Source organism: Homo sapiens, chromosome 9, assembly GCF_000001405.40.
Source record: "Homo sapiens chromosome 9, GRCh38.p14 Primary Assembly".
Lineage (NCBI taxonomy): Eukaryota > Metazoa > Chordata > Mammalia > Primates > Hominidae > Homo > Homo sapiens.
In genome coordinates, this window is record NC_000009.12 from 35,772,744 (window position 1) to 35,790,656 (window position 17,913).

At 43.4% G+C, this 17,913-nt stretch overlaps 1 protein-coding gene across 2 annotated transcripts in view; it reads left to right on the forward strand.

Annotated features, from left to right (window-relative positions):
* The window catches only part of RGP1 (RGP1 partner of RAB6A GEF complex), a 41,142-nt gene extending 23,457 nt beyond the window's left edge, over positions 1 to 17,685 (forward strand). The window contains exons 11-12 of one of the 2 annotated variants that reach the window (XR_007061382.1): positions 13,904 to 14,032; positions 16,615 to 17,685. The gene's annotated coding sequence lies outside the window, so the exon portion shown is untranslated. The remainder of the gene's footprint in view (positions 1 to 13,903; positions 14,033 to 16,614) is intronic. The other variant, XR_007061383.1, reaches the window with a different exon arrangement.

Genomic DNA, 17,913 nt, shown 5'->3' on the forward strand with positions numbered 1-17,913 from the left:
TCGGACCACGGCACTCCAGCCTGGGCAACAGAGCGAGACTCTGTCTCAAAAAAAAAAAAAAAAAAAGTTTTATACTAGACTATTCAACAAATATTTTTTGAGCTGCATACTAACTGTGGTGGGGTTGTATAAATGAGCTATAAAGTTGTGTTTTAAAGTAATATGTCTTCATAAACAAATATGCTGGTAATTTATACATAAAACTCTCAAACTTTACTGGTGTATTTGTTAAGTGGAGACTACAGACCTATTTCAGTGACATTTACAAAAAGTCCTTTGGTATTCTTTTATCCTTGTGGTACCTTAAAAAAACCCATATATAGCTTCTTATTGCAAAAGTAATACATAATTATTGAAAAGTACAGCCAGGCATGGTGGCTCACACCTGTTACCCCAGCACTTTGGGAGGCTGAGTCGGGAGGATCACTTGAGCCCAGGAGTTCAAGACCAGCCTGGGCAATATAGTGAGACCTTGTCTCTACGAAAAATAAAAAACAAATAGCCAGGTGTGGTGGTGAATGCCTATAATCCCAGCTACTCAGGAGGCTGAGGCAGGAGGATTGCTTGAGCCCAGGAGGTTGAGCCTGCAGTGAGCTGAGATCGCACTACTCTGTCAGCCTGGATGACAGAGTAAGAACCTGTCTTAAGTAAAAAGAAAGAAAAGAAAAGAAAAGAAATATATATGTATAAATTCTAACACATACTATTCCTAAAGAGACAGTCACTCTTAACATTTTGATTTATACTGTTCCAGGTTTCCTTTTTCTTTTTTTTTTTGAGACGGAGGCTGCTTTGTCACCCAGGCTGGAATGCAGTGGTGCTATCTTGGCTCACTGCAACCTCTGCCTCCTGGATTCAAGCGATTCTCCTGCCACAGCCTCCCAAGTAGCTGTGACTACAGGCGCATGCCACTAGGCCTGGCTAATTTTTGTGTTTTTAGTAGAGATGGGGTTTCATCATGTTGGCCAGGCTGGTCTCGAACTCCTGACCTCAGATAATCCACCCACCTTGGCCTCCCAAAATGCTGGGATTACAGGCGTGAGCCACCGAGCCCAGCCCCAGGTTTCTTTTTAAAAATTATTTATTTATTTAATTTTTAAAATAAATAAAAGAGATGGGGTCTTGCTATGTTGCCCAGGCTGGTCTTGAACTCCTGAGCTCAAGCAATCCTCCTGCCTTGGACTCCCAGTGTTGGGGTTGCAGGTGTGAGCCACCACACCTGGCCCGTATTATTATTTCTGAAGATCTTTTTATATGTGAAAAAACAATCCATTGTTATTTCAGTTTTATAGCCACTTTAAAAAATGTGTATTGGTGCACAAACTTTATTCTCTGATGATAAATTTCATTAAAACAGTCAAAAATTATTATAAGTTGGTTGAATGAAGTGAATGGTTAATCTGGGTTATTCCGGTTTTCGTTGAATGTACATGGGACTCTGAAGGGGTCATACCCCAGTTCTACCACTGCTGGGTCCTCAGGAGACTCAGCCTCAGCACCTTGCTCCCCCATGGCAGCAAACGCCTCCCTCCCTGAGAGACTGACTGTGCTCAGCTCTGGTCAGGGCAGGCTGCACAGGCCTTTTGCTGGATGACCCGGTAGGCAGACTAAGTGTGTGCCTTTAGGGTCCCAGCAAAGCAGTGGTACTAAATAGATTTGGAGGAAAGGATGTTGCTGTGTTTTTAAAAACATGGAAGTACTTGGCCGGGCGCGGTGGCTCACGCCTGTAATCCCAGCACTTTGGGAGGCTGAGGCGGGTGGATCACGAGGTCAGGAGATAGAGACCATCCTGGCTAACACGGTGAAACCCCGTCTCTACTAAAAATACAAAATAGCCGGGCGTGTTGGCGGGCGCCTGTAGTCCCAGCTACTGGGGAGGCTGAGGCAGGAGAGTGGCGTGAACCCGGGAGGCGGAGCTTGCAGTGAGCCGAGATTGTGCCGCTGCATTCCATCCTGGGCGACAGAGCAAGACTCTGTCTCAAAAACAAAACAAAAAAAAACATGGAAATAGTTACTATGGGGAAATTTGAATTTATTGATTTTATTTTTATTTCTTTTTTGGAGGAGGGGAGTACTATAATCTTTTCAGTGTTTTTGGTTTTTATACAGGTCAATTCCCCTCTTTGACTCATCCCAAATTTTGGTGGGGGGGGCTTCAGTCACATCCTTGTCTTTTTCAGCAGCCTCCTCCCCATATTGTCTCGAGGATTGGGAAGCAGGAAATTTATAATACCCTTTTCTCTCTGTTTTCTCCAAATTCATTTTCTCTCCTGTGTTCCTTTGGGAGAAAAGGGAAATCAGTTCTGTCTCTTCACTCCTCTATATTACTCCATCTGGATGGACCCACACTGATAGCAGTGAACCTTGAACTTGGCAGTTTTGGAGCCAGGGTCTTTGCCCTCAGTGCAGTAAATTCATTTTTTTTTGTTTAGCTGCCAGATTTAGGGTCCAAACAGGAAAACAGAACTCACTCTAAGCATTTAAACCAGAGGGCATTTAATCCAGAGAATTAGCTGGCTGTGAATATGGTGGAAGAGCTGAGAAGCCTTTCAAGGGAAGGTGAGGCAATGCAGGGGAAGATTAGCAACCGAACCTTCTATTCTCCCTAGGCTGTGGGAAGGAGGGGAAGTGCAAGGGGCAGGGTAACTTAGAAGCCGGAACTTTGGGGGCCTGTTCTAGGGAAGCTGGGGCCAAAGAGTGCCTGTCCAGATGCTGGCCAAGGCTGGGAGAGAAGGGGAAGAGATAGTCTGGCTTCTCTCGTTCAGTTTTCTGCCAGTGCCTCCCTGACTGAGCTCAGCAGGAAGCCATCTGTGGAGGGAATGGGAAGGAGCGCCACCATTTACTACACACGCTTCCACATAAGCTTGCGTTTGTCTCTTCCTAGTTAGTACACTTCTTAAGGATATTGAACTAAGTTGAACAGTTTCTCTTTTTTGGTCATATACTACTGATCAGCTCTTCTTATTAGACTTTTCAATGAAGAGATGAAAAATTTGAAAACCTTTACACAGTGTAAAAACAAGCAAACTCTTTTAAAAAAATTTTTGCTTTACTCTTCCAGAATATGGTCCCAAACTGCTGATGGTGGGATGTAGTTCAATTTTGGATATGACGGACCCCTAATAATTACCATAATAATGGACATTTATATAATGCTTTACAATATACAAGGTGCTTTTACATTTATTGTTACTGCAAATAGGTCTTAATCTGGGGATTTTGGAGCCTGTTTATTTGACCTCTAACAGGTTAGCTTAAGGCCTAGATTTGAAAGAAAAAAACAGTAATGCTCTTTTCTTGTTTTCCTCTGAATCACAGATGATAGGCAAACTTCTTTGACCTTTTTGTTAGACAGTTTAGCTACCCTCAGTAGTGGGAGGTGTTCTTAGCTGTCACTGGTGGGAGAGGCTGGCATCAAATTACTCCTCTGTTTTTCTCTCTTGGTGACCCAGCAGGTGTTTAGGACAATGACGACTACTCATGTGGAACCTTTGCAGTCATATAGATCATGCCTGTTGTTTTTGGCCTATTCTCCTTCTCCTTCTTCTTCTTTTTTTTTTTTAGATGGAGTCTTGCTGTGTCATCCAGGCTGGGGCGCAGTGGTATGATCTCGGTTCACTGCAACCTTCACCTCCTGGGTTCAATCAATTCTCCTGCCCTCAGCCTCCCGAGTAGCTGGAATTACGGGCGTCTGCACCATGCCTGGCTAATTTTTGTATTTTCAGTAGAGACAGGGTTTCATTATGTTGGCTAGGCTGGTCTTGAACTCCTAACCTCAGGTGATCTACCTCCCTCGGCCTCCCAAATTGTTGGGATTACAGGCATGAGCAACCGCATCTGGCCCCCTATTCTCATCTAAATAAATATTTTATTTCTTTATTTTCAAAGTGTCATCCTTGGCCCTCAAGGAAGAGTCTAAGTCAGCCCTACAGTTCATCTTGTCTAGTGTTTGATCAAGATTTGCTTTGTGGGCCAGGCGCGGTGGTTCACGCCTGTAATCCCAGCACTTTGGGAGGCCAAGGTGAGCAGATCATGAGGTCAGGAGATCGAGACCATCCTGGCTAACACGGTGAAACCTCGTCTCCACTAAAAATACAAAAAATTAGCCGGACGTGGTGGCGGGCGACTGTAGTCCCAGCTACTCAGGAGGCTGAGGCAGGAGAATCGCTTGAACCTGGGAGGTGGAGCGTCCAGTGAGCCGAGCTGGCACTACTGCACTCCAGCCTGGGTGACAGAGTGAGACTCTGTCTCAAAAAAAAAAAAAAAATTTGCTTTGTGGAAAATCAAAATAATTGAATTTATTCTTGGGCCAGATATACCCCAACCAATCTTAGCTTTGTTTTTATGACATTATACATGAAGTTATCTAAATCAGGTGTTTTTCTTTTTTTTTTTTTTTTTTTTGAGACAGAGTCTTGCTCTGTCACCCAGGCTGGAGTGCGGTGGCATGATCTTGGCTCACTGCAAGCTCCGCCTCCCAGGTTCACACCTTTCTCCTGCCTCAGCCTCCCCAGTAGCTGGGACTACAGGTGCCCACCACCATGCCTGGCTAATTTTTTGTATTTTTAGTAGAGATGGGGTTTCACTATGTTAGCCAGGATGGTCTCGATCTCCTGACCTCGTGATCCACCCTCCTCAGCCTCCCAAAGTGCTGGGATTACAGGCGTGAGCCACTGTGCCAGGCCTAAATCATGTTTTGTGGTTTTTTTTTTTTTTGTACTTGTTTCTTTCATTTATTTATTTTTATATATATAGAGAGAGAGATAGGGTCTTGCTATGTTGACCAGGCTGGTTTCAAACTTTGGCCTCAAATGATCCTTCCATCTTGGCCTCCCAAAGTGCTAGGATTACAGGTGTGAGCCAACGCGCCCAGCCTGGTACTTGTTTCTTGTAAGATGTTCTAGTTCTAACTCTTCTTCTTCAGACCTACTGATCTTGGATTATACTTTTTGTAATACTTTATCTTTTGGTTCCAAATGACTGGTTTTCAGAAAAGCCTTCTTAGCTCTGATGTTACCGTTCTGCCCTTTGATGTTTTTAATCTCCTTGCTACAGCTATGAGGGATTCACCATGTGTGTTTATCTATTAAAAGAAATCCCATCTTTCCCTTTGAGGTCCCATTGCCATCCTTTAAAACATTCAAGATATCAAGCACCCCATATCAATGACATATTTTTATGCTTTCTTGTTTATGATTAAGATTCATTTTTAATTAAAAATTTTGAATAGGTCATACTTGCACACCTGTTACAAAATTAAAGCTATACAAAATGGGCCAGGCGCGGTGGCTCATGCCTGTAATCCCAGCGCTTTGGGAAGCCGAGGTGGGCAGATCACCTGAGGTCGGGAGTTTGAGACCAGCCTGATCAACATGGAGAAACCCCGTCTCTACTAAAAATACAAAAAAATTGGCCGGGCGTGGTGGCGCATGCCTGTAATCCCAGCTACTCGGGAGGCTGAGGCAGGAGAATCACTTGAACCCGGGAGACAGAGGTTGCAGTGAGCCAAGATCATGCCATTGTTCTACAGCCTGGGCAACAAGAGCGAAATTCTGTGTCAAAAAAAGGTATACAAAATGATAGATAATGAAAAAACTGTCTCTTTCATCTTGCCCTTTAGATACCTTGTTCCCCTTCAGGGAGGTATTCGCTGTTAACAGTTTCCAGTCCAAAAGCTACGTTTTAAAGCATAATTAAATTTCTGGCCCCTTCTCTAAAGTCCCTCAATTATTAATCATATTAACTCTGTAGAAGGATGTATCACAACATTATACTGAAAAATAAGCTGAATATACAAAAGTGTTCAAGCAGTCAGAATACTTTGGAATATAATATGACATGTCAAACTGGTGTCTGACATGGATGGCTTCTGGGTGGATGCAAGTCCCTAAATGTCCAGCCTTCCTTTTGTGCATTGGCTTTGCCTGCCTACATACCCACTCCCTCCTCTCGAATGCACAAATAATGCACATTCGCCTTCCTGTTTGCTTTCTCTTAAGCCCAAGGCTTGTTAATCTGGGATCCTTTAGCTCCTAGATCCACGTGCACCTGAAATGATATGTAAAATGTTGTGGAATAATATGTATATGTGCTTTTTATATTTTAATGGGGAAAAGAGAGTATACATGGCTTTCATCTGATGTTCTATCTCCAGTCTATCTCTGTCTTCTTTATTCTGCCTGAACTTTCAAACTCCTGGTTCCTTCTGTCACTCAAAAGATGACTTTGCTTCCCCATTGAGGAATGCAGTTGAGCTCCTTATTTCATATAACCTTCCCTTCATTTCAATATATTATAGAGGATGTTGAGTAAGGTTTTTTTCTATTGCCCTGGAATTGGTGACTAGGGTCCAAAGCTGGGACAAAGAGGACTAAATACTGCACGTTCTAGAGAGAGTTGCTAATAATTGGATCAGAGCTCCTCTCCAGGGCTTACAAAGAGGTAGCAGAAGTGGCCCTGCAACTTCCAGCCAACCCATACCTTACCACCCCACCTCCATTCCCAGGCTATATAAGATAAAAGATGACTGAAGGGAGGCTGTCATGAGCCTAGCAGGGAGTACTTTTCCCTCCTTTCCCCCCTTAAAGTAAGCAAGGGAGTATGAAAGAGATCTACATGAAAGAGAGATTGATTTCTCATTCCTTGGTTAAACTATCTGTTTAGACAGTGGATTTGTTCAGCTCCGCACCTGTCTGAGAAGAGGAAAGGCAATTAGAGAAAGGAGGAAGGGCAGAGTAAGGGGATAGTAGTGGAATAGTCTGCATTCATTCTGTTTGGCTTAGCAAGGGTATGTGAGTTTCTGTGATCAAAGGGACACTGAGGAAGATCGCCGGGCTTGAGCCATCATGCTGGTAACCCATCCAAAAGGCTGCCACTGAACAGAAGTTAGGAGGGTTAAAGAGATGGCTTGGATCAGGATTCTCTGCATTAGGGCACAACTCAGTGGAGAAGCCCAGTAGGACCTTCTAAAGAACTCACATAACTGTCTCATAAGAGAGCCAGCATCTTTTTTTTTAAGATGGGGTCTGTTGCCTAGGCTGGGGTATAGTGTTGTGATCATGGCTTATTGCAGCCTGAATCTCTTGGGCACAAGTGATCCTCCTGCCTCAGCCTTCTGAGTATCTGGGACTGCAGGTTATGTGCCACCACACTCGGCTAATTAAAAAAAAATTTTCTTAGAGACAGGGTCTCTCTACGTTGCCCAGGCTGGTCTCAAACTCCTGGGCTCAAGTGATCCTCCTGCCTCAGCCTTCCAATGCCTTGGGCTTACAGGCATGAGCCACCATGTGCAAGAAAGATAGCATTTTGACATCTGCCAAACAACAGGTTGGCATGGTCTGTCAGCAAACAGTGGTTTGTGATAACTACCTTGTTAAATAAAAAGAGAGTTGTTCTTTTCCTCCCTGCCCTCCTCCTAGTTCTCAACCACCAAGGAGCTAAAACCCTTCTAGAGAACCTTCCAGAGAACTAGAAGAGGAGAAGCAGAATCAATAGAAGGGATCATATTCTTCTCTCCACCGCAGGTTCCTTAAGCCATGGCTTAAGATGAGTTCTGCATTGGACCTGAGACTGGAGTTTTAAGCCATATCGGACTGAGTCTTTAAATAACCAAAAGGGAGCAGAGTGTTATGGACTCTGACCATGATGTTGTGAAGAGGTACAAAGGAGACATTTGTCATGGCACAGATGAAGACTGATGGGTGGCAGGTTATGTTTATACCTGACCAAGCTCAATGCTCAACAGATAAGTTAAATTTATCCGTCACGAAATCTATCCCTGAATCCATTGTTCCACCTTTCCCTGCAGTCTCAGAGGAATTTCTTTTTCTTTTAAAGTGAATCCCTGGCTGGGCACGGTGGCTCACACCTGTGATCCCAGCACTTTGGGAGGATGAGGAGGGTGGATCACTTGAGCTCAGCAGTTTGAGATCAGCCTGGGCAACATGGTGAAACTCCATCTCTACCAAAAATACAAAACAAACAAACAAACAAACAAAAAACAACCAGGCGTGGTGGTGTGCATCTGTGGTCCCAGCTATTTGGGAGGCTGAAGTGGGAGGATTGATTGAGTCTCGGGGGATGGAGGTTGCAGTGAGCCAAGATGGCGCCACTGCACTCCAGCCTGGGTAACAGAGTGAGACTCTGTCTCAAAATATGACCAAATAAATAAAAATAAAGTGAATCCCTTCATCCATACTCATATATCCATTGAGAAAACATTTATTTGAATTCTAAAATATACTGCCAATGTAAGGTACAAAGATTAAGGACGATAAAATTCCTTCTCATGGAATACACAATCTAATGGGGCAGAAAGTACCTACTTTAAAACAAATGTATTAAATTAAATTGAAAAGTGGCCTGAGTAAGCCTCAAAAAAGACTAATTAGAACTCAAGGGAAGAGAAAACATTTCAGGCTGACAGAAAACCCATGGGCATAGAATAACATGACCCACTTAGAGGACTATAGATAGCTCTATATGTTTAGAAGGCATATGTGGCTGCAGAGGAGGCTGGAGAGGAAGATGGAGCCAGGACCACCTGGTGGACTGAGATTCTTGTTCTCCATCCTGCAGGCTAGTGGCTCTGAACAGCAGTAGTACTTTTCCTGGAGGGGCATTTTGGTCCGTGGTGGGTGCGCAGGAGATAGTGGGGGTGGGGGGAGGGGGTGGGGGGGCAGGCAGGAGGGGGTGGAGGGGAAGGGGCATTTTCTTGGTTGCTATAGTGATGAGAGTGGGTGCTACTGGCATTGTAGTAGTTGGAGGCCGCAGATGTTAGACTCTGCAATGTGAGGACAGTTCCACATAATTAAGAATGTATTCCATGAGAGAAGGAATTTCACCTTGTTTTGGTTGTTAATCCTTGTACCTTGACACTGGCAATACCTTTTAGGTGTCAAATAAATGTCCTGAATTCGGCATGATTTAGATATCCTGAGTTCTGCACAGTCTTCAAATATTCCACCAAACAGTTGTGTAGGGTGTTATATATAAATATATATATAAATACATCTGTTCTGTTATTGCTTATCCTAACACTGGTGTTTAATCCAGTATCTTTCTTTATGGAGTGGCTTCAGATCTCTTAAATCAAAATTTATTCATTCCCTGTAATTAGATGGAAGCATCTAATTACAATTAGCTGAGTGCCTCCTTTGGTGTTCTATCACAGTTATATCCAACCATTTACATATTGAAATACCTGTTTTTAAAATAAGTTATTGTCTTTTATTTCTCTCGTTTTTTTTTTTTTTTTTTTTTGAGATAGAGTCTCACTCTGTTGCCCAGGCTGGAGTGCAGTGGTGTGATCTCGGCTCACTGCAACCTCCCCCTCCCGGGTTCCAGGGATTCTTGTGCCTCAGCCTCCAGAGTAGCTGAGATTACAGGCGCCTGCCACTATGCCCGGCTATTATTTCTCTTCTATATTACAGGTAGGAAATTTTATTGATGTTTTGAAATTATGTGTAGAGATAGGTTGTATTATCTATGCATTTTATTTTAAGTTAGTAAAGGTGCCGTTAGAAAATAATTATTAGAAGGAAGATTTAGGTTTGGTAGCATCAAGAGTCATTGTTTAGTCACTGATTTTCAAAGTGTTATTTTGAGCTGCAGAGCTCAAATATTTTTGTTCATGAGCTCCTTAAAATAAAACACTCACACAATTTTAAATTGAAATCTAACTTTATTATTACAAGGTTTTTTGTTTTTGTTTTTGTTTTTTGAGACGGAGTCTCGCTCTGTTGCCCAGGCTGGAGTGCAGTGGCACGACCTCGGCTCACTGCAATCTCCGCCTCCTGGAATCAAATGATTCTCCTGCTCAGTCTCCCAAGTAGCTGGGATCACAGGCGCGTGCCATCGCGCCTGGCTAATTTTTGCATTTTTAGTAGAGACGGGGTTTCTCCATGTTGGTCAGGCTGGTCTCAAACTCCTGACCTCAGGTGATCCACCCTCCTTGGCCTCCCAAAGTGCTGGAATTACAGGTGTGAGCCACCACGCCAGGCCAGATAAAACAGACTTTTAACTATTTTATTGAATAAAGTACACCAACTATGAAATAAGTTACTTAATTTTTTTTTTTTTTTGAGACTGAGTTTTGCTCTTGTTGCCCAGGCTGGAGTGCAATGGTGTGATCTCGGCTCACTGCAACCTCCCCCTCCCCGGTTCAAGCGATTCTCGTGTCTCAGCCTCCCAAGTAGCTGGGATTACAGGCATGTGCCACCATTCCTGGCTAATTTTTGTATTATTAGTAGAGACGAGATTTCTCCATGTTGGTCGGGCTGGTCTCTAACTCCCAACCTCAGGTAATCCACCCACCTCGGCCTCCCAAAGTGCTGGGATTACAGGCGTGAGCCACTGCGCCTGGCCCTTAATTTTTTTATTCATTTATTCATTTATTCAACGTAGCTGAAGTATTTTTCTGCTTGTAAAACTTTTCAGTTTAATTTTCTCTTTTTATTTTATTTTTAATTGACAATAATTATACATACTTATGAAATACAATGTGATGGATACATGTATAGTGTGTAATTATCAAATTAAGACAATTAGTATCTCAAAAATTTATCATTTCTTTGTGGTAAGAACATTCAAAATCCTCTCTTCTAGCTATTTTGAAAAATACAATAATATTGTTAACCAAAGTCACCCTACTGTGCAAGGGAACACTGGAACTTACTCCTCCTGTCTATCTGTAACTTTGTTGGCCCACCTCACCCCATCTACCCCTCCTGCCTATGCTTCCCAACCTCTGGTAACAATTATTCTACTCTGTACTTCTAAGAGATCAGTTTTTGTTTTTTTTTTTAGATTCCACATATGAGTGAGATCCTGTGGTATAATGTCCTCCAGGCTCATCTATGCTGCTGCAAATGACAGGAATTCATTCTTTTTTATGGCTGAATAGTATTCCACTGTGTAAATATACCACATTATCTTTATCATTCATCTGTTGATGGACACTTGGGTTGATTCCATATCTTGGCTACTGTGAATAGAGCTGCAATAAACATGGAAGTGCAGACATTTCTTCAACATACTGATTTCATTTCCTTTGCATAAATACCCACTAGTGGGATTACTGGATAATATGGTAGTTCTATTTTTAATTTTTTGAGAAACCTCTATACTGTTTTTCATTATGGCGATACTAATTTATGTTCCCACTAGTATAAAAGTTCTCCTTTCTCCGCATCCTCATGAGCGTTTGTTAATTTTTGTCTTTTTGATAATAGCCATTCCAACTGGGATGAGATGATATCTCATTGAGGTTTTGATTTGCATTTCCCTGATGATTAGTGATATTGAGCATTTTTTCATATACCTGTTGGCCATTTGTATGTCTTCTTTTGAGAAATGTCTATTTTGCCCATTTAAAAATCATATTATTTGGGATTTTTTTTTGCTATTGAATTGTTGAGTTCCTTATATAGTCTAGGTATTAACCCCTTAGATGCATAGTTTGCAAATATTGTCTTCCATTCTGTAACTTGCCTCTTCATTTTGTTGACTGTCTCCTTTGCTGTGAAGAAGCTTTTTAATTTGATGCAATCCTGTTTGTCTATTTTTGCTTTGGTTGCCTGTGCCCAGTCCAATGTCATGAAGGGTTTTTCCTGAATTTTTTTCTAATGCTTTCATGGTTTTCAGTCCTTACATTTAAGTCTTTAATCCATTTTGAGTTGACTTTCGTAAGTGATGAGAGATAGGGGTGTTTATTTATTTATTTAGAGACAGAGTTTTGCTCTTGTCGCCCAGGCTGGAGTGCAATGGCACTATTTCGGCTCACTGCAACCTCCGCCTCTTGGGTTCAAGTGATTCTCCTCCTCCCTCAGCCTCTCAAGTAGCTGGGATTACAGGCGCCTGACACCACACCTGGGTAATTTTTGTATTTTTAGTAGAGATGGGGTTTCACCATATTGGCCAGGCTGGTCTCTTGGCCAAGCTGGTCTTGAACTCCTGATCTCGTGATCCACCCGCCTCGGCCTCCCAAAGTGCTGGGATTACAGGTGTGAGCCACCGTGCCCTGCCCTATCTCTATATATTTTTAAAATAGAAGACAGGGTCTCACTATGTTGCCCAGGCTGAATTTGAACTCCCAGTCTCATCAGATCCTCCTGCCTTAGTCTTCCGAGTAGCTGAAACTACAGGCACACACCACCCCTCTCAGCTGAAAACACCCCATTTCTAATGCCAAGCTTTACTCTTCACAGAATATGGATATGGTGGGGAAAGACAGGAAGCCCCATTCCTTTAAGACACTTTGATTCACCTTCACAAGTTTCCCCAGACCAATACTTGATTTATATATCCTTTTTCTTGGTGCTCCAAAGGTTTTTACACCCTAAAATAATTCATCATAATAAAATTTGGCTTGGGGTAGGGACATGCCTTTCTGTTGTAAACTGGGAGGGTTGTTGTCAGCACAACTGTTGTGAGCACAGGTCATTCTCAGGCAGAACAGTTTTGGGACTGAGTACATAAGGAAGTTCAGGGTCTGGAGATGGATTCCCTTAAAGCCATCTGGACAAACATAGTCCTTGGAAAGCCTTTTTGTGCTACTACTGTTTGAAGGCTGCTGCGCAGAGGTTCCCTGAAGGTGCCTCAGGGGTTCTGTTTGAGAATGAGGTGAAGGCGAGGGGTTTCTGGGCCCACCCCCACTGTTTCATCTGGAGCAGCTGGGCTTTTTTTTTTTTTTTTTTCTGTTTTACATGTACATTTTCATTTGAAGGAATGGTTTTGCTGCTAAAAATAACAGTGTGAAAAACATAGCCTCCAAGGGGGACCATTTAAAGATTTTAAGCAGTGATGTGACATAATTAGGTTTTTGTTTCAAAAGGTCGCTTTGACACCTGAACACATCGTGGAGGCTGGACTGGAGGGAAGTGAGACTGGAGAGACCCAGAGAGAAGGCAGAGCAAGAACTGGCTACTCTGGGCTCCATCCCAGGGTCAGCATCCACTTTAGATGGCGCCGGGGTTCACGGCTTGCCAGTCTCCACCTAGCTGCTTCTCCCATTCATATTTCCTGCCTGGCCCATGACCACCTTTGCCTTTGCAACCCCTGCCTTTGACTGTTTTTCGTCTTGTATATCCAGTCGGCCACCAAATTCTGTTGTTTCTTCCCTCAGATTACCTCAGATTTGTTCCTCTCTCCATTACTATCCCATCATCCTAGATTAGACACTTCAGGCTTGGGTTTCTCCAGGAACCTCTTCACGGTTCTTCTTGCTTTCAGTCTGTCTGCCCACCAATCTTACATCGCCACTGCTTAGCTTCTCTTGGTTCTTCATGACATATTGCAGTACAGTTTTGTACATTTTTGTTTCAGATTTCTCCTCTTCTTCCCAGTCTTTGGCTTCTGTAGAAAATTCTAAGCAGAGCAGAAGATTAAAATAGTGACTAGTGCATTTCCAGTCTCTAGAAGCAGTGATAACCATGTTTCCTTTGCCTCTTTTTATGCCAGATATTTGTAGAGTTAGCAGGACTTAAAAGGCAAGGGGACACCTTTCCCTCTTGCCACTTGCCTCTTGCCACTTTTTCCTCAGTGAAAGATTTTGTGAAGAAGTGGAATTTCAAGTTGAGTGGGTAAGATTATTTCAGGGAATATTATATTTGAGACTTCATGCTATCGGATGCTCCCAAAGGGTGGTAAATAACTACTGGGGTTGGTAATAATGATGAAGGGTGGTAATAGGAAAATAGGGAAACTATCTATGTACCTAGGAAGATTCTTGGGCCAAGTGTGAGAGGGCAGAGAAGAACTGGGGCCTTCCTGGGCACTCACAGAGGTGCTGGTCCAGGCCCAGATGGAGCAGACAGGTGAAATATGGTTCACGTGGAGCTTGAATCATCAAGGAAATAAATGTATGTGGTTGCTTCTCCTGACAATTCTTAAATTTCTCTCTTAGGAATCTTTGGCCATCTATGAAACAATTTCCATGGGAAAATGACTTGTTTGGACTGTATTTTCACAAAGCTGATATTTCTGGCCCTTAGAATATGATACCTGTTTGTCTAAAAAACATATATCTATTCAGGTAAGTTGGAAACTGAGATCTGATTTGAAAACATTTTGGGCTGGGCGTGGTGGCTCACGCCTGTAATCCCAGCACTTTGGGAGGCCGAGGTGGGCAGATCACGAGGTCAGGAGATCAAGACCATCCTGGCAAACATGGTGAAACCCCGTCTCTACTAAAAATACAAAAAAAAAAATTAGCCGGGCGTGGTGGCGGGCGCCTGTAGTTCCAGCTACTCGGGAGGCTGAGGCAAGAGAATGGTATTAACCCGGGAGGCGGAGCTTGCAGTGAGCCGAGAATGAGCCACTGCACTGTAGCCTGGGCGACAGTGTAAGACTCTGTCAAAAAAAAAAATTTTTTTTTTTAAATAATAAATTAAAAAAAATAAAAAAGAAAATATTTTGAACTTACAAAGATGTATATGAATTCAAAGTAAAAACCCTTGACCCTTTAAACAATCACAGCAGCGCCCACCGCTGCCCCCTTTTTTTTTGAGATGGAGACTCACTCTTTCCCCCAGGCTGGAGTGCAGAGGTGCAGTCTCGGCTCACTGCAACCTCCACCTCCCAGATTCAAGCGATTCTCCTACCTCAGCCTCCTGAGTAGCTGGGATTACAGGTGCCTGCCACCACGCCCAGGTAATTTTTGTATTTTTAGTAGAGATGGGGTTTTGCCATGTTGGCCAGGCTGATCTTGAACTCCTTACCTCAGGAGATCTGCCTGCCTTGGCCTCCCAAAGTGCTGGGATTACAGGCATGAGTCACCATGCCTGGCCCACAGCAGCCCTTTGAGGCTGTTGAATATCTGTGAGAAGATGAACTGGATCTTAGATCTACAACCATACTGTGCACTGCTGCGTGGCTGGGAGGGAAGTAGGAGTTGGAGGGGAACTGGAGGTTTGACCTAATTTCAGGATTCTGTCTCTCCCTTATGGGGCTAAAATAAAGAATGCAGAATTTGAGTAAAGTCTCTATTTGCTTTCTATATACTTTGCTACATTTCTTTTTCTACATTACTTTCTCCTTTTCTATTGAGATGTGTTGTGAAGTGTATCTTTCCTGCCTTATTTGATCTACCTTTCTATGGCTGTTCTCTGCCCTCTGTTGGCAGGTTCTCTTGGACCTGTCCGTCTGTGTGCAGGGGACAATTGCATGGAGTCAAAGCCCATTTCTGCTAGTCAGGTCAGCAGAGAAGATATTTTGTTTTCTGGAATTCTGTAGGCCTGGGAGGCATGATCTGGTGTAGAACAAACCTGAGGATCCAGATTCAGCTGCACAAATAGGTTTGTTATAAAACGTTTAATGCTGTCAGTTTGGGGCATCAGAGCCTATCACGAAAATTAGCATGAGCCCGAATCCCATGGTGGTTGCAGAGCTCAACTAGGGTCTTGAGGCACCTTTGGCCTGAGTGTAACCAGGATTAGGATTTCTTTTGAAGAAGGGACAGGGCAGCTTGGAAACCATAGGAGATTCTAGCAGCTGGCCAATTTGATGCTCTGCAGTTTAGTTCTGGATCAGAAATAAGGTGTTTGGGGCCGGGCGTGGTGGCTTACGCCTGTAATCCCAGCACTTTGGGAATCTGAGGCGAGTGGATCACTTGAGGTCAGGAGTTCGAGACCAGCTGGCCAACATGGTGAAACGCTGTCTCTACTAAAAACAAAAATTAGCTGGGCATGGTGGCGGGCGCCTGTAATCCCAGCTACTTGGAAGGCTGAGGCAGGAGAATCACTTGAACCTGGGAGATGGAGGTTGCAGTGAGCCGAGATTGCGCCACTACATTCCAGCCTGAGTAACAGAGTGAGACTCTGTCTCAAAAAAAGAAAAAAAAAAAAAGAAAAAGAAAGAGGGTGTTGATTGACCCTATCCAGAAGAAATTATAGCTGGTATCTGTTTGTGGATTAGAAGAAGGCCATGACAGTGCTACAAAGAGAAAGTTGGACCCTAGCTGGTTGCTGCTTAGGCCAGTAGAATCTAGATTTCCTAGGTTTTCTATGTATTGCAGCATGGTCACCAAATACAGCCAAAATATTATTGCCCATATCAATGACAGCAGTGATAGCTTGGATAGTGGGATATATACATAACCGAAGTTCTCATTTATTTAATATTTTCAGCTTTCCCTCAAACATGAAAAAATAAACACCAAAAGCCTTTCACTGTGTGTTAATAAAAAACCTCATTAGGGGATTTATCTTTTATCTCCCCACTCCTTCCCACTTCCCTTTTGTCTTTTAAATTTTATTTTTAGTTTTTACTTATGTTTTCTTTTCCTTTCTTTCTTTCTTTTTTCTTTTGAGATGGAGTCTTGCTCTGTCGCACAGTGGCGCGATCTCTGCTCACTGCAATGTCCGCCTCCCAGATTCAAGCGGTTTTCCTGCCCCAGCCTCCCAAGTAGCTGGGATTACAGGTGCCCACCACCACGCCCAGCTAATTTTTGTGTTTTTAGTAGAGACGAGATTTCACCTTGTTGGCCAGCCTAGTCTCGAACTCCTGACCTCAAACAATCCTCCTACCTTGGCCTCCTAAAGTGCTGGGATTACAGGCGTGAGCCACTGCACCAGGCTCCTTCCACTTCCTTTTTTTTTTTTTTTTTTTTTGAGACAGGGTCTTGCTGTCACCCAGGCTGCCTCTATCCTCTGGGATCAAGCGATCCCCCCACCTCAGCCTCCCAAGTAGCTGGGACCACAGGTTCGTGCCACCATATCTGATTGATTTGTTTGGTTTTTAATAGAGATTATAGGCATTACAGGCAAGAGCCACCGTGCCTGGCCCCTTCCTACTTTCTAGTTAACTGGCCAACTGGGAGGAAAAGGGAAAGGCAAGATGCTTGAATGTTTAATCCCTAACATAATGAAGAATAGTCCTTAATGTTCAGAATAATGACATATGATGCACTTGTACTTGCGTAGGAGTCTGGGTGACAGTGGTGGCTGATCCTCACTGAGGGCTGCAGGTGTTCCAGAGAGACTTGCCTGGGTTTGGTGGCTATTATATTGTAAGCACAGCTTTCTACAGTAAGTTCCATGAGTCAGCAAAATATCTATAAAGAGCCTCTCCTTGGAGACCATGAAACCTGCATTTTAATCTCTCTTTTGCAACTAAAAAGCCATGTGGGATTGGGGGAGAGGAGCAAGTAAGGACACTGCGACCTTCCTCTCTGGGATTTGGTTTTCAATTATCTTTAAATGAGAGGGCTAAACAATATATTTATATGATCCTCTTAGCCCTGCCATTCTGTAATTCTTTCAGGAATTTTGTCATTTTGGATTTGCTTGTCTCATAAAACAATGTGTAGTTGCTTAAAAATCAACTATTCTATTTGGTTGACTTGGTCTAAAGTATTTCTCATGTTGTCTCGTCATTCTTTTGACTGTTCCTTTTTTTTTTTTTTGCCTTGGCCAGATAGGACAAAATTCCTTTTCACTGCAGTATTGGGAGCCTGGAACTAGAGTTACCAACCCCTCTGCGTTAAAGAAGGAGCTGTCCTGAGGCTTCCATCTCTACTGGGCTTGAGGCAAGAACATTGTTAGGGACGGCCTGCTCTTGGCCTCTGTGCCCCAGGGATTGCAAATGCATGTTCCTCAAAGGTAAGGGCTGTATCATTCGGCTTTCTTTGTATTCACAGGTACAGCTTGTGCTAGGCAGCCGGTGTTCAATAAATATCGTGCCTAAGGATAAAGTGGCATTGTCCTTAATTTCCCCCACCAAACCACTAGGTGTCGCCTTCATCTCAGGGAAACCATGCCCGTCCTCGCCCTATACACTCCCACCCCACTCCAGGGCTCCAGGAGCGCTCTTAGCTTGTGATTTCTGGAGAAATAGCTTGAAGGGGGGAGAGAAACCGTGGCTCTTAGCGCGGGCAGAGAATGGGCTTATGTGCATGTCCTTTATGACAGTTGGAGA